This window comes from Homo sapiens, chromosome 8, assembly GCF_000001405.40.
Source record: "Homo sapiens chromosome 8, GRCh38.p14 Primary Assembly".
In the NCBI taxonomy this organism is placed as follows: Eukaryota; Metazoa; Chordata; class Mammalia; order Primates; family Hominidae; genus Homo; species Homo sapiens.
This window is the reverse complement of record NC_000008.11, coordinates 125548678-125571508: the sequence shown is the minus strand read 5'-3', so window position 1 is coordinate 125571508 and position 22831 is coordinate 125548678. Positions and strand designations below refer to the sequence as shown.

At 43.7% G+C, this 22831-nt stretch overlaps 1 long non-coding RNA gene across 1 annotated transcript in view, besides 2 other annotated features; it reads right to left on the bottom strand.

The window, feature by feature from the left end:
- Positions 1 to 22831, bottom strand: part of LINC02964 (long intergenic non-protein coding RNA 2964) — a 160228-nt gene that overhangs the window by 108626 nt on the left and 28771 nt on the right. The gene's annotated exons all lie outside the window — the stretch shown is intronic.
- Positions 2809 to 2858: an enhancer, noted in NCBI's record as "active region_27920". NCBI's record gives its function as "activates an Ori minimal core promoter by ATAC-STARR-seq in GM12878 lymphoblastoid cells {active_cell/tissue: GM12878}" and the evidence as "EXISTENCE:reporter gene assay evidence [ECO:0000049][PMID:35858748]".
- Positions 13979 to 14716: an enhancer, noted in NCBI's record as "H3K4me1 hESC enhancer chr8:126569037-126569774 (GRCh37/hg19 assembly coordinates)". NCBI's record gives its function as "activates a minimal SCP1, AML or CMV promoter by ChIP-STARR-seq in primed H9 embryonic stem cells {active_cell/tissue: H9 hESC(primed)}" and the evidence as "EXISTENCE:reporter gene assay evidence [ECO:0000049][PMID:30033119]".

Below are 22831 nucleotides of genomic sequence, written 5' to 3'. Positions count from 1 at the left end.
AAAAACGAGCTGACCAGTCCATTGATACAAGTGGAGTGGGAACACGGAGGAACTAAATGCTGATGTGGCCAAGATAACAAGTTCTATCCTTATCTTACAGATAAGGATTCTGAGATCCAGAGAGACCTCAGACTTAATCCACAATTTATTAGCTGTGTTACCCTGGGCAAGTTACTTAACATTTCCGCCCTTCATTTTCCTCATCTATAAAATAGCTTTAATAATAATACCTATGTCAGTGATTATTATAAAGGTTAAATGAGTTATTATTTGTAAAGCACATGAAATAGTTCAAGACACTTATTTTAAAAGTATATTAATCTTTAGCTGGGCGCAGTGGCTCACGTCTGTAATCCCAGCTCTTTGGGAGGCTGAAGCCGGAAGATCACCTGAGGTCAGGAGTTTAAGACCAGCCTGGCCAACATGGCAAAACCCCGTCTCTTCTAAAAACACACACACACACACACACACACACACAAAAATTAGCTGGGGGCGGGGGGTGGCACACATCTATAAATCCCAGCTACTCGCGAGGCTGAGGCATGAGAATCACTTGAACCCAGGAGGCAGAGGCTGCGGTGAGCCGAGATTGCGCCACTGCACTCCAGACTGGGTGACAGAGCGAGACTCTGTCTCAAAATGTATATTAATCTTTGCTAAATGAATTTTAGAAATAAAACACCAAATAAAATGACATGATTAGCTCAAGTTCACAGAACTGGGTGAGTATCAAAGTTGGAATTGACTCCTGATCCAGTGTTCTTTCCACACCTTTCTATTCTACTTCTCAACTAAATTTGCACTTCCATTTTCAGTGAGAGATGTAAATCATCTGCGTGTTCCCTTTAGGCCATATATAGCTCAGGGATACCCCTGCATGCCTCCTAGCCAAAAGATCCAGCAGGGAAGGACTCCCAAGGCCCAAATCCCAGGCTCCCTCTGAGATCACGTGCAGGGCGGAGTCTGTTGAAATGACTCAGGTTGAGGCTAATTTACAGATGTGCAAAAAGTCATGCTCACGCCCCAGGTGTGTTAAGTAGGACTTGAAGGGTTAAAATGCACCATCCTGCAAGTAGGGACTACCTAGGACTGGGACTTCACAGATATTTCCACCTTCTATTGTCTGGTCATCCTGGGGTTCACCTCTGTGACTCTCATCTGATGAAACTCAGTCCATTCAAGGCAGATAGTGCCCAGGCTCTCTGCAGCTGACATTGTCCTTCCCTTGGAGGAGAAAGCAAGGGCGATGGGAAGACTAGTCTCATTTGCAGCCTGGCTTCCATCCATGTACCAACAATGACACAACTCCCTCCTCCGATGAGCACTTTCCAATCTCCACTGAGATCTGTTGGATGAGAAGCCAGTTTCCATCACAGCCACGCACAGGCAGCTATGGGTGGGGGTGTGGATATAGCTCTCGTCACCCCAAGATCTGGGAAGAGAGAGCTCATCTGTTCACCAGCCAGAAACCCAGCCAAGCATAACAGGGCTGCTGTGAGGGTCTTTGAGGAACCAAAGGGGAAATGACCCAATGGCCAGGACTGTGAAAGCTACGGTCATAAGAGAAGCATGCTCCTCTAGCCCTGCTGATGGAATTGTCCCAAAGGGAAAGATTTAACTTGTTTTAGGAACTAGTCAGAGCCTGGCTTGGGCATGCCGCCAGTGTATTACGAGAACAATCTCTGGGAAATGAGGAATGAATGTATTGCCAAGCAGATTGTAGCCCTGGAGCCTAACAATCAGTGGCCCCTGACATTCAGCCAGCCCCCAATTCCTTGGGACCTCCCTGACCACTACCAGTGCCAGACAAGCTGATCCCTGATTCTCATTCACTCAACATATGCTGAGTCCCTGTTATGGTCAGGCACCGTGCTAGGAGCTGGGGAAAGAGGTGTGATGACACAGCCTCTGCCTCGAGGACTTCGTCTGGAGCCCATGGATAATTACAATGCAATATGATTGGATGCCCCAGTGTGTACTGCTTCCGGAAGCCCAGAGGGAGGAGTGACTAGTCCTGTCTGGGCAATTCCAGAAGGATTCAGAAGAGGTGAAACATGAGCCTGGTCTTGAAGCATGATCCCTGTTCCACTGATGTCTGTGAAGCACCCTGGGTACCAGGCAGAAGACCAAGACTGGCCAGGGAGAGTTGGGTGTAGGGGGGTTCCAACACAGCTGCTCCCCAGCCTTCCTGCCAACTAAAACCCTTCCTGCCTTCCTTTTACATGCTAGTGCAAAAGTACCTCCCCTGCAGAAATCATTTTCCAGTTAATTCAATATCTCTCAAATAAATCATGGACTTGGTCAGCCTCTTCATGTACCAACCCAAAGACATTGTCAGAGCCCAGAAGAGTAGCTTAGAACCCTTAGAACTCTCCAGCTTGTGCTGGCCTTCAAGAAGAGAACCATCATTCCTGTCCTCAAGCAGTGAATAGTCAACCTGTAGAGAAAAACCAAAGACCAATTGGGTGCCAAACTGAAAAATCATGTTTAGAAGTCGATAGAAAATTAGGAATAAAATTGGAAATGAAGAGAGCTTTTGCTCTCCTTGAGAGCACCGGTTGAAAGATTCTTGGACCACTTCAGGCGGGAATAGATGTTTCAACCCCAAGAAGATGCAAGCCCGTTGAGAGCAGAGGTTTCTGTTTTCTTTGTCTCAGTAGTCATCTCTCTCCTTCCCCACCCTCATACTTAACTTCTTAGCAGAGACACCTGTAGTCCCAGTGCAGAATGTATTCAAATAAGCCATCGTGAATGGGGAAGTAGACACCCTGACAGAGCTGAATCTCACCTTGCCAGTCAAGAAGGGTCCTCCTAGCTGGGTCTGAGGAAGAATCTGAGGGATTGAGATCAGGAGGCTAGATATGCCATCCTGATAGAAAGGGAGGAAGGGAGGGAGGCAAAGGAGGGAGGGAGGGAGGGAGGGAAGGAAGGAAGTTGTTATATTTCCTTTTGCATGTTTCCTTTCCACTTCCAAACTACCCTGTGAGAGAGGTTTCATTGACCCTACTTTGCAGACAAGAAACTGAGGCTAAGGGAATTTAAGTAACTCGCTGAAGGTCAAAACTCTAGTAAACAGGGATTCAGTCCAAAATCTGAGGACTCTGAAGCCTGTGCTTTTTCTAGACAGCCTGGATAAAAACAACTGTCGTGTATCAAGAATCTGCCACTTGCCAAGACCTGGGAAGGCCCTTTACAAACACAGATTGCACGACTCTCACTGAGCAGATTCTCCTAGCAGGAGGCCCCCTGCCCAGCTGCTCCTCCTGCACAGATGGGATACCAGGGTGGCCACAGCATTTAGCACCGAAACAAGTATGGTTTGAAGGTGACCAGGGGGCACTTTTAATGATTGTGGTGAGTAGCAGGTACAAATAGGACTGTCCCATGTGGTCACCCTAGTTGTAGCCCACCTTCCAACCATCCATGCATCCCTTAAGCAAATATGTCACAAAAGGCTTGAATCCAACTCTCCTTGAGTCCCTCCTCACTTTTCCCAACAAGAGGCCATCCAGCCATCCCAGGACTTTGCAGACACTGGCCACACTAATCCAATGTGGAATGTAAAAGCAATTAAAGCCACGTATTTTATTGTTTAGCTTTTCCATAAAGCTAAAACTTTTCCATTCAAAGAATTATCCTGTGTCTTGAGAGCACTTACTTTCTTAGGGTTAAAAGTCTCATTTCTTTGGATGGCATAATGGTTATGACAGATTGTAATTTGGTTTTTAATACCTTTAATGGACAGAACTAAAAGTTGGGAAAGTTATGATGTTAGTCTGCTTAATTTTTTCTTTTTACCATTTTAACCATTTTGAAGTGTATGGTTCAGTGGCATTAAGTACATTCACAGTGTTGTACAACTATCACCACCATTCACCTCCAGAACCTTTTTACCATCTCATCTGAAACTCTGTTCCCACTAAACAACAGCTCCTCATTCCCCCTCTCTTCCCAGTCCCTGGCAACCACAATTCTACTTTCTGATATTTGAATTGAAGGTACCTCTTATCAATGGACTCATACAGCATTTGTTCTTTTGTATCTGGCCTATTTCACTTAGCATAATGCCCTCAAGATTTACCTACGTTGTGGCATATATCGGAATGTTCTTCCTTTTAAAGTCTGAATAATATTCCATTGTATGTGTATACCAAGTTTTGCTTATCCATTCATCCATCAGTGGTGCCTCGTTTAATTTTACAGGTCACCATGATCCAAAAGCCTGGGAACCACTGATCCAGCCTGTGCATATACTTCAGTGATGGGCGCTCACTCCTCTCCCCATGCGGGCATTCCTTTGTATTTTATATTTAATCCTAGAGGACAACAGAGTGTGGATCTAACTGAGGAGGAGCATGGTGGGAAGGTAGAGAATGATTTTCAGGTCTCAACAGCCTCCCTACACTTCAAGATTTGTTCCCTACCTTTGTGGATCTAGAAGCCCATTGTTCAACTTTCCTAGGAATGATCAGATCCTGGAAAAAAGGACACCAACCGCCTACATTTCCAGCCACCTTTGCTTGTGAGGGAATATTATCAATGCATATCATTCCCTCATTTACTGAGATGTACCCTGAACTCAGATACTCGGGCCCAAAATTTTGGAGTCATTTCAGCTCCTCTCTTTTCCTCACACCTCACATCCAAACCATCAGCAAATTTTGTCATCAGTAACTTCAGAATATAACCCAAATCCAACCCTTTTGCACTGCACCACCATCTCCTATTCCAAGCTATCAAATCTTGTGTCTGGACTATGGCAATAGAGTCCTAAATGGTCTCCTGTTAGGACATCATCCTCCTTGTAACCCCCTCTCTTCCTACCACCTAAAATGACCCTCTAAAATGTAAATATGGCTGTGCAATTTTTATAAAATATATCAGAAACCCTCCCTGTTTAGCACAATAACAATCATGAATAAAGTCTTTTTAAAACCATATTCCTTTATGAATGGCTGAGCTAGCAAAAGAGAAAGGGAATCCCTTAAATGCCAGCAACAATAAAAAAGCTTGAATCTGTAGGGTAGACCGACAGTGGAGCCAATGGGGTATGTGTTCTACAGGGGCAAAAAGACAACATCTTCACAGACCTTGTGCACTGGGTGGTTGTTGGGAAGAGTAGAAAACAAGGCCTGAGGCCCTAGCAAGGTTGGAGGTCAGACTGAAAATTCTCATAATAAGTTAGAACTCCCAAGAATGACACACCTTAGTAAATAAATGAGGAACAAACATTCACTCCACAGATTGAAATGTGCCGGTCTGGGCTTTGGCTCTTGGTGGAGCAGAAACAAAGAAAAAAAATTTTTTTCCTTTAAGAATTTCTGACTACAAGCCCAAATTCACAGTGTGTTTGAGGCCACTATTCACATGTCCTGTGTGGCCCGAAGAATCTAAATAGACCTGGGTATTTCGCAGAAGCAAGCCATATATATTCCCTGAAGGTGTATACTTTAAAACTAAGCTTCAATGAATTACCACAGATATTGTTCATAGGAGCATAAGTCACAATCATAAAACACAAACACACAAATAAACAGATCCTTATAAGGGAGAGTCAGCAGAATCAACCAACGATGGTGCCCCCTCCACAAGGACTGCAGATGCTGGAATTAATAGATACAATCCATAAAGTAGTCAAACTTGATGTATTTAATGAAATCAAAGAGGGAATGAGCCAGGCATGGTGGCTAACGCCTGTAATCCCAGCACTTTGGGAGGCCGAGGCATGTGGATCACTTGAGGCCAGGAGTTCAAGACCAGCCTGGCCAACATGGAGAAACCTCATCTCTACTAAAAATATAAAAATTAGCCAGGTGTGGTGGTGCAGGCCTGTAATCTCAGCTACTCGGGAGGCTCAGGCACAAGAATCGCTTGAGCCTGGGAGGCGGAGGTTGCAGTGAGCTGAGATCACACCACTGCACTCCAGCCTGGGCAACAGAGCGAGACCCTGTCTCAAAAATAAATAAATAAATAAATAAGAAGAGGGAATGAGTGCATGATGAAGGAATAAGAAGCCAATCAGGCATGTTTGAAAAAGAACCAAAAATCTTTGGAAAATGAGATGGTATAATAATGAAAATTAGAAACCCAGTGTATTGCTTAAACAAAATATTAACACATCTGAAGGGAAAATTAGTGGAAACAAATCTAAAGAAATTATCCACACTGCACTACAGAGACAGAGAGAAAAAAAACAGCAAATAGAATGACAGCATCTAACATATGTCTGAGTGATCAGAAAAAGAAAACAGAAGAGGGAGGCAGCTGAATTTGAACACAGCACCCCCCTGCTCAGTCTCTCATACCTTCCCCCTCATTCATAGTGCTCTAGGATGTATCCATAGGAGAATTATTGGGGGGAAATTTTAAAGTCTCTATAATCAAACATGATCTGGCTCCTGACTACTTCTCTTTGCTGGCCTTCTGTTTCTAGAATGTGCCAAGCCCACCTCCATAGCAGGGCCTCTGCCAGGAGCACTCTCCCCCTTTGAACCCCACATACCTCACTCTCTTCCTTCATTCCAGTTCTTGCTTCAACAGCATCTCCTCTGAAAGGCCACTCTTGACCACTCACTCTAACGTTGTCCCCCAAACCCTTTCCCTGCTTTATTTGGTGTCATAGCTTTTATTATTACCTAATATTATATTATACTTTTGTTTATTTTGCATTGTTTCTCTCTCTGATGTGAAGACATGTAACTTGCTCCAAGCAGATGCTCAGTAAATATTTTTTGAAAGAATGAACGAATGAATAAATAAATGAAACATATATGTACCTACTATGTGGTCGGTGCTGCCAGGGATATAGAGATGAGTGAGGCAGAGACTGAGTTGCCTGCCATTGCCCACTCTCCCTTCCTCCCTTATTAACACAATCTTGATTTTGTAGAGGAAGCAATGAGACCAACTGAAAACACGTATTTCTCCAGGCACCCTTTTACAGAGATGTGACCATTTGGCTATGTTCTGGCCAACATGGTATAGGCATTCTTTGTTGGGTGGAACTTCCAAAAAAGGAGAGGAATAGACTCAGCTTGGGGCCTTATAACTTTTTCTCCCACCTCCTTCTTGCTACCTGGAATGTGGACATAGGAGTTGGGACTGCCATTTTATACCCATAAGTCAACCTTGAGGATGGAAGCCATGAGCTAAGGATGGTAAAGAAAACAGGTCAAAGGAGTCTGTGACATCAAAGATGTCACACAGCTGTCACTCCAGGCCTGTCTTCTTACCCTAGACATCCTTTAGCAGAGAAAGAATAAATCCCTATCTTTTTTCAGCCACAGCCTGCTGAAGGTACTTCTCAACTGATACCATGAATAAGACTCAGTCTCTGACTTCAGAAACTTGCAACCAACAGTGGGGTTCAGAGGTACCCAGTGACACCCAGGGTGATGTGCTGGCCAGGAACTCAGCAAGGTCAAGTGTCTTGCCCAGCATGGGACTTGGTGGGCAGAAGGAGAGGGCTGATATCTCCCCAAGGAAGGATTGGGTCATTAGCTTGGCCTTTCACACTCCCAAATTGTTGGGTTAGGCAAGGACTGGCAGTGTGAGGGGTCAGACCACAGCAATTTCTCCTCCTTCTGAAGTGAACCAGTGGGGGAAATGTCATGTATGCTCATGAGGTGTCACTGGTCAATAGGCAAGCATTGACTCAGCACTGTCTCCGTGCCTAGCATTGTGCTAGGTGCTATGAGAAAGGCACAAGGAGGAGACATGGCTCCTGTCCTCGAGGAGCTTATACTCACAGGGACTCAGTAACTCTTATGTCTGAAAGGAACCTTGGGTGGGAACCTTGGTTTCCTGGCCTCCTGTTTCCATGAGGAGGGACCTTATCCAGGGTAACACTTCCTGTCTCTTCTATTTCCATGCAGAGGGACCTTATCCAGGGTAACACTTCCTGTCTTGCTTCCTCACTAGGCTCCCTCCTCATGAGAGGTGGATTCACTTATCTGATCAATGAGTTCAGGAGAAAAAAACAAATAAGTCTGCTCTTTTTAGGAGCTGCTTTAAGATATATCTACAAAAGCATGACCATAAGAAGGAACTCTGGGAATGTACAGAGTTGCCAATGATGGGATGGACAAGTCTGTCTAACTCCAGGGAGCAGTATTATGAAGGCCATTGTTGTGGCCACACCTCTGCACATTCTCCAACCCAAATTTTATCCGTAAAAACATCATTTATTTCTATCTTCATTTCTCAACCCAGGAGGAGAAGGAACGAGTGTTATTTTTGGCCCCTCAGGATGATTATTGCTGACAGCTGTTACAAACAACCCCAAAATCTTAGAGTCTTAACACTAGAGAAGTTGTATTTCTCATCTCATGCCTCTTGTTTCTGGTCAAGAGGATCTGCTATAAAAGGGTGACTCAGGGACCTACTTTGCTTGGTATTGTGTCTCCCATCATGTGACTTCAAAGTCAACCTGGAATCATCTAGCCATGAGAAATGGGGAAAGCCTGGAAGATTGTGCCAAGGGAACGAGAATCAGGGATATTTTATGGTGTACACAGCCAGGCCTGGAAATGTGGGAAATCACATTTACCCACACTCCACTGGGCAAAGGAAAACTATAGAAGGCATTGAACCCAGGTGAGGCATCTACTCTGCATCAGAGAGTAGTGAGTTCCCTGTCACTAGAAGAGGCAAACAGGGGCTGATCATTTGGTGGAGATATTAAGAATCAAGTCTTCCATCGGACAGCTGGACCACAGCAATGATTCCCACACTTTTTATTCTCCAGGGCCCTTTCATAATTTTTCCCTTTGGACCTCATGTTTTGAAAGATCATGTCTAACAAACAAATTGCACTTGTTGAGTAATAACAAATATATTTCCCCACTTCTTATTCACCAAGTCTGTGTGTGTGTGTGTATGTGTGTGTGTGTGTGTGTGTGTATGCGGTGTCTATAACTGGACATGCTCATTTTGGGCACCATTGCTGCCATGGTTTTGATTTGCTAATCATATTCCAGGAATGCCTAGGATGTCATCAACAGCCAGTCTAAGTTTCTGACCAGCATTTGATGATTTAATTCCAGCCAAAGCAAAGAAGCTAAGAGTTTAGTTAAAATAAGTTGTCCGGCTGGGCGCAGTGGCTCACATCTGCAATCCCAACATTTTGGGAGGCCGAGGCAGGAGAATCACTTGAGGTCAGGAGTTTGAGACCAGCCTGACCAACAAGTTGAAACCCTATCTCTACTAAAAATACAAAATTAGCCAGGCGTAATCCCAGCTACTTGGGAGGCTGAGGCAGGAAAATCACTTGAACCCGGGGAGTGGAGGTTGCAGTGAGCCAAGATCGCGCCATTGCACTCCAGCCTGGGCAACAATCTGTCTCAAAAATAATAATAATAATAATAATAAGTTGTCCATTCATGGGGTAAATTAAAGCCCTTTTATCTTTGTAGCAGGACCTTGCTCATAGCAATCATCACACAATCCTCCAAATTTGGAATGGGGTTCAGATGCTGGCAGCTAAAATCCATGCGTCCTCTGCAGGGCAAATGAAAAATTCAGGAACGGAACTCAGGTATTGGCACTCAGTGCAATTCCTTTTCTGTATCCTTTTCCTCCTATTAATTTTGGAGCAGGGTCATTTTTTTTAAACTCTTCCATTTCTAGGAATTTCTCCTAGAGATACTCAAATATGAAAGCAAAATGAAATACAGCAATGTTCACGGTAGCAGATGTTGTTAACAGTAAAAAGCAACAAAGAGGCCGGGCGTGGAGGCTCACACCAGCAATCCCAGCACTTTGGGAGGCCGAGGTAGGCAGATTGGATTGCTTGAATCCAGGAGTTTGAGATTAGCCTGGGCAACATGGTGAAAACCCATTTCTACAAAAAATTAGCTGGGCGTGGTGACGCCTGTCTGTAGTCCCAGCCACACAGAAGGCTGAGATGAGAGAAGCACCTGAGCCTTGAAGGTCGAGGCTGCAGTGAGCCATGATCGCACCACTGAACTCCAGCCTGGGCAACAGAGTGAGACCTTGTCTTAAAAAAAAAAAAAAAAAAAAAACAAAAACCCAACAAAGGAAGTTTAGAAACAAATGAAAAGCACATTCATGAGAGTCAACTAATCTAAAAATGGCACTGTTCCTACAATTGAGTACCATGTGACTACTTTTAAAAAGTACACCAGTTTTATTGATGTAGAAAGACATCCAAGACAGGTAAATGTAAAAGTTAGGGTGCAGAACAGTGTTACAGTATGCCGCCATTTGTGATAGTGTATGGATTATATACACGGGAAATTAGGAAAATGATACATAAAAAAACTATTGAAGGTAATTACCTGTGGGAAGTAGAATTGGGGTGTGAAATGGAAAAACATTACTCTTCATTGGCATGTCCTTTGCTTTTGAAGTTTTACCATGTGCATGTGTTCTTTCCATAATAAAAAATTAGGCTGGGCATGGTAGCTCAAACCTGTAATTCCAGCTCTTTGGGAGGCTGAGGCAGGAGAATCACTCAATGTCAGGAGCTCAAGACCAGCCTAGGTAACATAGCAATACCCCATCTCTACAAAAAAATTAAAAATAAAAAAATCAGCCCAGCATGGTGGGGCACAGGTATAGTCCTAGCAGCTTGGGAGGCTGAGGTAGGAGGATAGCCTGAGCCCAGGAGTTTGAGGCTACAATGAGCTGTAATTGTACCACCGAACTCCAGCCTGGGCAACAGTGCAAGAACCTGCCTATTAAAAAATTAATTTACAGGTTTAGTCACCAATAAATTAGCTCTATTAATTAATTTTAATAAAATTTGTGCCATAAATGCTAAGTCCACTTATTAATAATTCAACTAACAATGAATAACGGTTTCTCATGCCCCAAGCAAGTGCCAGGTGTTGGGATTATGTATGTCCACAAAAGAAAATAAGACTGAGACTTACCTTCCAATAGCCCATCACCAAGTGGAAGAGTCAGCCAAATAAATGTTCACAACAGCAAAAATTAGTGCCATGCAAGAGAATCACTTGAACCCAGGAGGTGGAGGTTGTAGTGAACCAAGATCACACCACTGCACTCCAGCCTGGGTGACAGAGCAAGACTCCATCTCAGGGGAAAAAAAAATTAGTGCCATGATTGAGGAAAGCCCTGAAAACTGTGGAACCATGAAGGAGGGTACTTAATATAGATCATAGATTGAAGGAGGCTTTCGGACGGAAGTGTTATTTGCAGTGGGTTTTGAGGGATGAATAGAAGTTAATCACGAACAGGAAGGAAGAGAGATTAGGTGGCATAAAGAACAAAACACATCAAGCACTTGGGACAATATGGAAAGGTAGGTAGTAGTTTAAGTATAAGGAAACACATACCTTGAATACTTATTATTTAATATGCTTTCCTAATGAAATACTACACAACCACTATAAAGGAAAAAGTGAATCTATCTGAACCAAGAGTCAGTTTGCCAAAGTGGTTAGGATTGTGAGTTTTGGAGCCAGATGTTGGATCTGGTTCAGATCCTGTCTTCACCACTAACTAGCTGCCTCATGTTCCTTAACTTTTCTATGCCTAATATCCTCCCCATAAAATGAGAATAATGAAAGTACATTCTTCATAGGGTTCTAGTGAGTATTGGAATGAAATGATGAATGCAAAGTCCTTATCCCAGTGTCTGCTACAAACGAAACATTCAGTGGTGATAGTTACACTCACATGGACTGATATCAAGGTATATTAAGAAAAGGAGGGGAAACTGCTTTTTATATTTATCATAGGATCTCATTCCAGCAAGCAGGGGCTTTGCTGTCTTGTTCTCCAATATGTACCCCTCAGTACATAGTTGGCATCCAATAAATAACTATTGAATAAAAGAATTCCTGTAAAAGAAAATTACATATGTCATTTGCTAATTAGGATATACATAGGTAAAGAAACTGAAATGATATATACCAAGCTGTTAACAGGTAGTATCTCTGGAATGGCAAGATTATAAAGAATTCATCCTTCCTAAAGCATACTTTTCTCTAACAAACTTTTTACAGGAAGGCTGATTTTCTTAAAATCCGGAGAAAGCAATAAAATTTGAATGTAAAACAAGAAAAAAGTAAACATTTTAATTGATTATTGTGACCATCACAGTCAATTCATGGATATTTTAAAGAATTTGTCTCCAGTCAACTGGTTGAGAAAATGTAGTCATTAACTACATAACTTGGTATTTTCTTAATTGAAAATCATGTCGTAGAATAACTTCAGTCATTGCCCTAATCTGTTCACCTCTCTTTGGTGGTACCTTCCCAATACTCTCTGGGCTTGGCCCTGTGACTTGTTTTGGCCAATGGAAAAGCCACAAACAAGACCAAATTACAGGCTTGGAAAGCAATGACCACTGAGGGTCTCGGAACCCTGCCATCATGTGAACAGCCCAGGCTAGCCTGCTGGGTGATAAGAAACATGTGGTCTACTCCCACCAAGAGCCAACAGCCAGCCAATCTGTGAGTGAGGCCATCTGAGATCAGACACCCCTGAGCCAGCTGCAGACATATGAGCAGCCCCAGCCAAGATCCTCCAAACCCAACATAGACCAGAGAGCTGCCCGGCAAAATCAAGGACTAAAGAGGTAGCTGTTATTTCAGGCCACTAAGTTTTAGGTAGTTTATGGTTCATTACACAACAATAGTTAACAAATACAAATTTCATTAGTCACATGGCTCCTAAACAATGTGCTCAACTGTGATATGATTTTTCAAATGGAAAAATAAAAAGGTAAAAATCCTGCAGAAAAATCACAACCAACGATTTGCAAAGGACCATTTTTTAAAATGAAAAGTAGATCAAAATTGAGGGCTGATTTTTGAGAAGGACAGCAGACACTAATAAGAACATTATAAGGGCTTTAGCTTTCTGACCACGGGAACGGCCAAAGCTCACCCTGGCACAATACATATTGGACTTCCTTATGAGATGATACAACATGTAGTAATAAGTGACTGATTGAATTTCTTGAAGCATTCATATATCTTGACAATGAAGCCACTCCTTAAAAATCACCCTGAACTTTTCTTTTTGGACATTCCTGAGGCATGAAGAGGCAGCATCAATGCACTACCAGAAACACTCCTCTCCCAGGTGGGCCCCCACATTCACCCACATCACCCCATTTGTCCTCACAGAAGTCCTGAAGGTAGTTGTGGTTATTCCAACTTAAAACAGAGGCAATGAAGCACAGAGAAGTTAAGGGACTTGCCTAAAGTCACACAGCTCATAAGTGGCAGAGCTGGACTATAAGCCCAGGTCTTCTGTATCCTTACCTCTCACCTGTATCTCTTCACTGCACAATCTCTGATAGACTTTTAAATTGGTGAAGTTAGATGGTTTTACAGTGAGCATTTACTCTCTCCTGCTCAGTCCTCTGATTTTAAGACCAAATAATAATAGCTAACATTCACATAGCATCTGCTGAACACCGGGTACTGTTCTAAGCAGTTTGTATATAGAAATTCACTTAATTCTTAACACAAGCCTATGAAGTAGATACTTTTATTATCCCCATTTGACTAATGAAGGAACTAAGGCATACAGAGATAAGCGAGGTGACCAAGATCGCAGACCAAGTGAGTGACAGAGCCACATGATTCAAACCTGGGAGAGGGAACTCCAAAATCAAGTCTCCTAAATAAATTAAGCTACACTGCATCAAGACCTATAACCTGATTGGCCCAGGATACAGGACTTTCAGTGCTAAAGCCAGGACAGTCCCAGACAAACTGAAACAGTTGGTCACCCTGGCTGGACAGACATTACAAACCAGCAAGTCTTGGGCCACATCCAGCTTTCTGTTTAGACCACACTGTATTTTGAAATACAATTGAGCCAACATTTTAAAATCAGAAGGCATCATGCTAACAGCTGTATTTTTGGCATTTCTTGAAAAGTTGGATGATCTGGTCCCTGGGTGCGCGTGCGTTCAGGCATGGGGGCAGTCAGTGGCAGCTCAGTAGCCACTGGTCTCTGTCGTCCTGGCAATAGTCCTCCATCCTCTGCAGCCCCCTCCCATCATACCACGTGTTCACATGCACTGACCCCAGCCTGATTGGCTCATCTCTGCACCTGACCGGACACTGTGTGCATTTGAGTGTGGAACCCAGAACATCAGCATCATCCTGACTCACTAGGGCAAGCCCTCCCCACCTTTCCTGCACCTTTGAATCACCTGGGGAGCTTTGAAGGCGCCCGGGACACACCTCAGCCCAGTGAAATCAGAATCTCTGGGAGTGGGTCTCAGACATCACAATGTTTTAAAACTCCCCAGATTACAATGTGCAGCCAAGTTTGCAGGGCTCCTCCAACTTCAGTGTGCACAGGAATCATCAGCAGATCTTGTTAGAATGCAGATTCTGATTCAGTGGGTCAGGGTGCAGCCTGAGATTCTGCATTTCTAACAAGCTCCAAGCTGATGCCTGTGCTGCCCTTCCCAGGACCACACATCGAGAGGCAAGGGGCCAAAAGACAGCTCCTCATCAGCATGCGCTCTTCCCAGCCTCACTGGCTGGCCTGGACAGCTCCTGTGTCCTTGGAAACTCGTCAACGCTTCTAGCAGCAGAGGCCCAGAGAGGAGCATAAGCAGCCCAAGGTCACACAGGCCAGGAAAGGCACCCACATCTCTATTTCTTTCCACTGCACAGCACTGCCTCGCCTCCCCTAATGAGCAATTTCACCCACCCATCCAAACCCCAGCACATCCTGGCTCTGTTTGTGAGGAGAGGCCAGGATGAATTTCTCCGTGAAAAAGTCAGTCCTTGCAGAATCGGCGTCTGGACGTGGGTGGATGGTAGTGCTCTGTGGAAAGGGGTCCAGGGGAAGGTGGGGGAAGCAGCAAAGAGCTCAGACCGTGAAATGCAGAGGCTGAGGAGGAGGGGGAGGCCAAAGGAGGGGCACCGGGACAGCCCCCTCCCCTTCCCCCCTAAGGAGGACGCCCCACGGTGCCTGAGTCAGAGGCCTGTGAGCTCAGCCCCAGGGTGCTGGGTTGGGAGGTGAGTCAGAGGGTGTGTGATGGAGTGAATTTCTCCCCAGCCAAATATGGGGCTCTGCTCTGCTCGGTCTTGCCATGCGCACTGCCAGAGGCTGAAAGCTATGTCTGCTCCACATGACAGCAAGGTCCCTGATGAAAAGGGGAAACTATTCCACTCTCCGCTCGCCCCTCTCCCGCTCCCTGGACAGTGGGTGGCACTTTGTGTTGCACTGAGTACCTTGTAAACTCCTCCACGTCCCATCTGTTCACCCCAAGTCATTCAACAGAGCACAAAATAGAGAAGTAATAAGAACGTATTTTGAAATGGAATTTTGATCCTAACAGGGTCCTGGCTGGGCTGCCCTGCACCCACAGCCCTGGGAAGGAAAGAGACAACATCCCACTCTTCCCTGGATCCCCCAGTGCCACACGCGAAGTGTGGGACATGGTAGACATGATTAGCTAATAACTGGGCTGGACGCAGTGGCTCATGCCTGTAATCCCAGCACTTTGAGAGGTTGAGGAGGGCAGATCACTTGAGGTCAGGAGTTCGAGCCCAGCCTGGCCAACACGGTGAACTCCAGCCTCTCTTTTATTTTTATTTTTATTTTTATTTTTTTTCCGTGAAACCCTATCTCTACTAAAAATACAACAGAGCAAGACTGCGTCTTAAAAAAAAAAGTCTTTAAAAGATAGTAATAATAATAACTGTGTCATTGGGTGTGTGTTATGTCTTTATCTGACAGTAGACTTAATTCCTTGAAGAAATAACAACTTACATAGCACACCCTATATGCCAGGCACTATTCTAAAAATCTACTCATATTAGCTCTTTTACTATGAGGATTAACTTATTCATACTCACAACAGAACAGCCCTAAGAGGACAGTGCTATTATTATTCCCATTTTACAGATGAGGAAACTGAGTCACAGAGAGGTTAAGTCATTTGCCCAGGGTCATATAGGCAGTAAATGGTAGAATCAGGATTCTACCCCCAACAGCTCGGCCTCAAATCCTGCGCTCTTAACAGTATTTGATTCATGTCTGTGTCTCTGATCCCCAGCACACTGCCTGGCCTGCTAGGTAGTGATAACTATTTGTTGACTAAATGAGTAGAATTATTAACATGCTAGTTATCGTGTGTGTTTATATGTGTTTGTCTCTCCCACTAGACCTTGAACTTCTTGAAGAAAGTATTGATCTTGCCAGTGCCTCCCAACGCACTTAATAAATGCTTTAAGAGTGAATATGTTAAAGAATGGATGTTTCCAAACCCCAGTTGTTTGCTGTGTGAACCAGACTACCTAACCATTGAATGGGGTGTTTGGAGTTTATTCAGATGTCCAGAAAGAGATGGTGTGGCCAAGTGTAGGGCCAGCTTCTTGGCTTTGTGACCTGGTCAGTTGCACAGAGTCCCTGCTTAGACAGGCCCCACACTTGGTTTAATGTTCTGCTATAATCATCTTGAATTTCTTAATAATTTTTTAACAAGAGGCCTCACGTTTTCATTTTGCACTGGGCCTCGCAAAGGATGAAGCCTGTCCTGCCAAGGGTGAAGACAGCTCCTGAGGACGGGACACCAGGAGCCCCATGTCTGTGGCCCCCGGGAGTGAAGCCTTGGCCGTGGGTAACATTCAGACAGTGTGGCCCAGGCTCAGTGACCCCAGCCCAGATGTGGCTCCTGAGAGGTCATTTGGATCTCATCACTCCTGACCCAAGAGCTGTCCCTGAGGAACTGCTGGGCTTCCCAGACTCCAGTGGCTTCAGACTCTCGGCCAGCCCAGGCTCTACACAGATGACGCCTTCCGTGGTAGGGCTTGGACCATAGCTGAGCGCTCGGCTGAGCACTTTATTTTACTTGATGCTCGTAACCGCTACCCTCTGAGATAGGTTTTATTGGCCCGGTTTTAGGCACCTGGGGTTGCAAAAGGCCCAAGGTCACAAATGAATAAGAGGCAAGATGAAGTGCAAATAAATGATTCCAAGACCCTTGTTCCTCACCACGGGCCCCTACTGCCCCCTCACTGTTTTAGGCAGGCCCTCTTTCTCTCTGCTTAGAAAGTGCTTCACCCTCTTCTCAAATCCTGTCTTCCCCACTTACCTCTTTTCCAGCCATACAGCTGGGAGTGGGAAAATCAGGGTTCCAAGTCAGCCTTGGGTTATCTGCTCTTAACCATATTTGTTTGCTATACTTGTTTGAGCATGGCTTGGATATCTCAACTCACAGAAAGATGGACCACAAAAGAACTTTAGCCTCCACTTCTTCATCTGTAAAATGGGATCAATAAAAAGAACCACAGCACAGACTTACCTGGATTAAATGTAGTAACAGATGTCGAAGTGCTTTTTAACCCTCCAGAGGTCTAAACACATTGGCCCGTCACGGGTCAGCAGAGAAATGAACCAACATGCATCCCTATGAATCACGGGGATTTCTCCTGCATTGTCTTCAGATCCTGAGTCTCTCACTTCTTAGCTGTGTGACTTTGGGCAAATCACTTACCTTTCTGAGTCTTAGATTTCTCGTCTGCAAATTGGGAAGTGGGGTTGATGACAATAGACGTTCGGCAGTGTGGTTATGGGGTACTTGGGAGAGTGGTCATGAACTGGTGAATGGTATTAGTCACAGAAAAACTCCAGTGCACACCAGATTTCCTTTAAAGCAGCAAGGCCCTGGTCAGCATCTTGCCCTTGAAGCACCGTTCTTGGATGTCTTCTCCCCAGTCAAGACACACCACATTTCCAGAACATGACCGAGTACTGTACTAGTAAGTCCTAAGTTAGCCAATTCTCTAAATCAGCTTTGAAAATCTCTCAGCTTGAAATGCAAATTAAAACCACAATGTGATATCATCTTATACCATCAGAATAGCTGTTATTTAAAAGTCTAAAAATATCAGATGTTGGCAAGGATGCAGGAAAAAGGGGAATGCTTGTACACTATTGGTGAGAATGTAAATTAGTATAACCTTTATGGAAAACAGTATGAGATTTCTCAAAGAACTAAAAATAGAACTACCATTCCATCCAACAATCCCACTACTATCTACCCAAAGGGAAAGAAAGCAATATATCAAAAAGACACCTGCACCTGCATGTTTATCATAGCACTATTCGCAATAGCAAAGATATGGAATCACCCTAAGTGTGCATCAGTGGAGAACTGGATAAAGAAAATGTGGTGTATATACACCATGGAATACTATTCAGCCACAAAAAAGAACAAGGTCAGCTTGGATGGAACTGGAGACCATTATCCTACATGAAATAACTCAGAAACAGAAAGTCAAATACCACATTGTTCTCACTTATAAGTGGGAGCTAAGCAATGGGTACACACGTGGACTTAGAGTAGAATAATAGACATTGGAGACTCCAAAAGGTAGGAGGGTAGAAGGGGGGCAAGGATTGAAAAAATGTCTATTGGGTACAATGTTCACTTTTCAGGTGATGGGTACAGTAAAAGCCCAGACTTCACCATTACTCAATACATGCATGTAAGAAACCTGCACTTGTACCTCCCAAATACATAAAAATAAAAACTAAAATAAAATCTCTCAGCTTGCCCGAACCCTGAAGTGCAGCTGTGCGATCTCATCTCACTGCAACCTCCACCTCCCGGGTTCAAGCAATTCTCCTGACTCAGCCTCCTAAGTAGCTGGGATTACAGGTGCACGCCACCATGCCCGGCGAATTTTTTGTATTTTTAGTAGAGACGAGGTTCTATCATTTTGGCAAGGCTGGTCTCGAACTCCTGACCTCCAGTGATCCATCCGCCTCGGCCTCCCAAAGTGCTGGAATTACAGGTGTGAGCCACCATGCCCGGCCTCCAATGTCTTCTTCTCCCTTTGTCTTCCCTTCCCATCAGGCTGGCTGGCCTGTCATGGTTGTAACTCACTGGTGGTGGCCTTATAACTCCACTTCTGCCCCCACTTCTTCTTTACCCCCATAACCAATCTGGAACTTTTTCTTCTCACTTTTTTAATCTTTGCAAAAGAAGGAGCAGATTGAGGGCCTAACAGAATGCAGTAGAGAGTCCATTTAGAGTTGCAAATTCCCCGTTCCCTGCTCAACTCTCTCCCTCAACCATTTTTCAAAGGAAGGAAAAGGTGAACCCATCCAAAACATACACACCAGCTCCACATGTGCTAACTCTGTGACCTTGGGCAAGATACAGAAGGTCTCTAAAGTACAGATGACTGGGAACAATCAAAGTGCCTATCTGGTAGGGCTAGAGTGAGGATTAAATGTGATAATCCAGGCCGGAGTCTAGTCCAGTTCCTGACACATAGTAAATAACAAATGTAACCATCTTGTTATATGAAATCAGTTCCAAATTGAGAAGTGTACATCACTGTTTTATTTGATCCATGATGTTGTTAATCTACTTTTTCATCACTGTAACAAATAAAAACTATGAGCACGTTGACATAAGTCAACTGATGATGACATTTCAACAGGCCTGGGTGCTGCCCACTAATTGTTCCACCGTATGTTTGGTTGTGTTTTTTTTTGTTTTTTTTTCTTTGCTTTTTTTTTTATCTCTAGACGGAGTCTTGCTCTGTCGCCCAGTCTGGAGTGCAGTGAGTGACCCAATCTCGGCTCACTGCAACCTCCACCTCCCAGGTTCAAGCAATTCTCCTGCCTCAGCCTCCCAAATAGCTGGGATTGCAGGTGCCTGCCACCACACCCGGCTAATTTTTGCATTTTTAGTAGAGACGAGGTTTTACCATGTTGGCCAGGCTGGTCTCGAACTCCTGACCTCATGATCCACCCGGCCTCCCAAAATGCTGGGATTACAGGCGTGAGCGACCGTGCCTGGCCAAACTTTTTTTTTTTTAATTCCTATCAGCACTTTGCCTCTTTCACTAAAATTTTTAAAAATTAAAAAACTTACTCTTTATAGACTTTTGATGTCTTAAGTGTGTTAAACTCTGGTTTCTTTCATGATAACTGTAATTATTTAAAAGCCTGTGTAATCATTCTTCACAAAACGTGCTGAGAGCTCACACATCAAGCCAAATGGTAGGACAGATAATGTTGGTATTAAATGACAGGAAACTTCATCACCACAGACAATACATGAGGGGACATCTGGGATCAATATGGAGACAGGATACAAGGCTATCTCAGCTTAAGACCCTGAACATGATTTGAAATTCAGAACATAAGAAATAGCTACACTGTATCAACCAAAATACGCCTTCAAAGTACAGAAAGTTCAGGGCCAATTTACAAAGTGTAAAGATTCTGGATAACAGACTTTTGAAGGCTGGAGTTCAATAGCATTCTGTTTTCAGATTCATTGTGCTGCCAGGAAAACTGAGCCGTGGGAAAGAGGACTTTCTAATTCTATTAGGAAAAAAACCTGAAATTTTTCAGAAAATATGAGAGAAATAATATTGCAATTACAGATTTAGAAGTGATTTATAGTAAACTACCAGGGGGAAGTATCACCTACACAGCCAAATAAAATGAAGGAAATAGAAAAGATTTTTTTTAAAAAAAGAGTAGTTTAAAACAGGGGCCAGGCTGGGCACAGTGGCTCTTACCTGTAATCCCAGCACTTTGGGAGGCCAAGGCAGAAGGATTGCTTGAGCCCAGGAGTTCAGGACTAGCCTGGGCAATATAGCAAGACCTAGACTCTACAAAATTATTTTTTAAAAAATAAACTAGTCAGTGGCACACACCTGTGCTGCCACTTACTCAGGAGGACAAGGTGGGAGGATCACTTGAACCCAGGAGGTGAGGCATCAGTGAGCCATGATTGTACCTGTGCACTCCAGCCTGGGCAACAGAACAAGATCCTGTCTCAGAAAATAATAAAAAATTAAAATAAAACAAGAGACAAATTTTGACCCACAGGCCACATTGGCCAACTACTTGTTTTTGTAAATAAAGTTTTATTGTCACACAACCATGCTTGCTCATTTATATATTGTCTCTGACTGCTTTTGCATTACTTTCAATGGTAGAGGTGTACTTATGACAGAGACTTTGTGGCCCACAAAAGCTAAAATATTTACTACCTGGTACTTTACAGAAAACTGTTGTGAGCCCTTGGTTTAATACATGAATCTGTTTTCTGGAAACCAAAACAATATTTAGAAGTATGTTTAAAATTAGAGTGGACAACGAAAGAAGAGAAAAACTTCATTTGTTCATTCCACAAATAGTTAATGAGAACCTACTGTGTGCCAGGGACTGTATAGCTGTGTAAAAGTAAACAGACAAAAGTATGGGCCCTCACAGAACCTACCCAGACTGAGGAGTTTACTAATTGATCACTATAAAAGAACACATATTTTAAAAGTGAAATCTGGCTGGGCGCGGTGGCTCATGCCTATAATCCCAGCGCTTTGGGAGGCCGAGGCAGGTGGCTCACCTGAGGTCAAGAGTTTGAGACCTGCCTGGCCAACACGGCGAAACCCCGTCTTTACTGAAAATACAAAAATTAGCTGGGCGTGGTGATGGGCGCCTGTAATCCCAGCTACTCAGGAGGCTGAGGCAGGAGAATCACTTGAACCCAGGAGGTGGAGGTTGCAGTGAGCCGGGATCGCTCCATTGCACTCCAGCCTGGGCAACAGAGTGAGACTCTGTCTAAAAAAAAAAAAAAAAAAAAAAAAAAAAAAAATGAAATCTTTAAATGAACAATGAAGAATGAAATGTTTCAAGGCGTAAAGAATGAGATCAGTGTTTCCTCAGCTTAGTCAATAATATGTGATGAGCCAACCGACAATGAAAGAACACTTGTCGACTTGCGCAAAAGAGATCCAAGAAGACCTCAAAGCAAGGCATAAACAAAGAAAGGCTGAAAGGTCTCTCATCAAGGTTGAAGGAAAAACCAGGACCAGTTGGCACAGGGTTGCAGCATGGAATTGATTTGAATCAAATTATTGGCCAGGTCTATCATAATGTTGCTACCCAGAGTAGAAAGCTTACCAGATTCACAGTGAAGCTGATGAAAACAGAGCTAACCATTTCACACATATATGGTTACACCTGGGTTTAGGAGTCAGTAGTAATAAGCTTTGGTTTGTGAGTGAGGAAATAAAAGCATTTCCAAGAGCTCTCAATATTATCAATCCATGCATTGAAGAAAGGGCTGATGGTGTTTTAAAACATTTCTATGCAGAGTGAAGATCAGCACACAAGAAGCTGTGTTGCTTGTTGAAAATGTCTTTGAGCTATCGATGATGTGTCCACTTGGGTTTAACTCCCTGATACGGTTAGGCTTTGTGTCCCCATGCAAATCTCATCTTGAATTGTAATCCCCATAATCCCCACATGTCCAAGGAGAGACCTGGTGGGAGGTGACTATATCATGGTGGGGCAGTTTCCCCCATGCTGTTCTCATAATAGTGAGTGAGTTCTCACAAGATTTGATGGTTTTATAAGTGTCTGACAGTTCCTTCACACACTTGCTCTCTCTTGCCTGTCGCCATCTAAGACGGTGCCTCTTCCCCTTCTGCCATGATTGTAAATTTCCTGAGGCCTCCCCAGCCATGCAGAACCATGAGCCATGAAGAACGCTTCCCTTTATAAATTACCCAGTCTTGGCAGTTCTTTGTAGCAGTGTGAGAATGAACTAATACACTCCCTTACAAAGATCAGTGAAAATAGAAAATGGTATGAAATAATGTTTAAAAGACCAAGTGTCTATCTGTTGAGCAGAGCACTGAGTCTAATTTCCAAATTTGAATTTATCCTGTGTTTAAAATGTGTCACATATTAAGAATTTCAGGAATTCTTTCAAATGAGCTTCAGAAAGAATTATCTATATTCACTACCTTTATTTTTCTTCATTATTTATCATCTCAGTAAAATGATAAACATTTCAAAACTATTTAGGACAGAGTAGAAGACT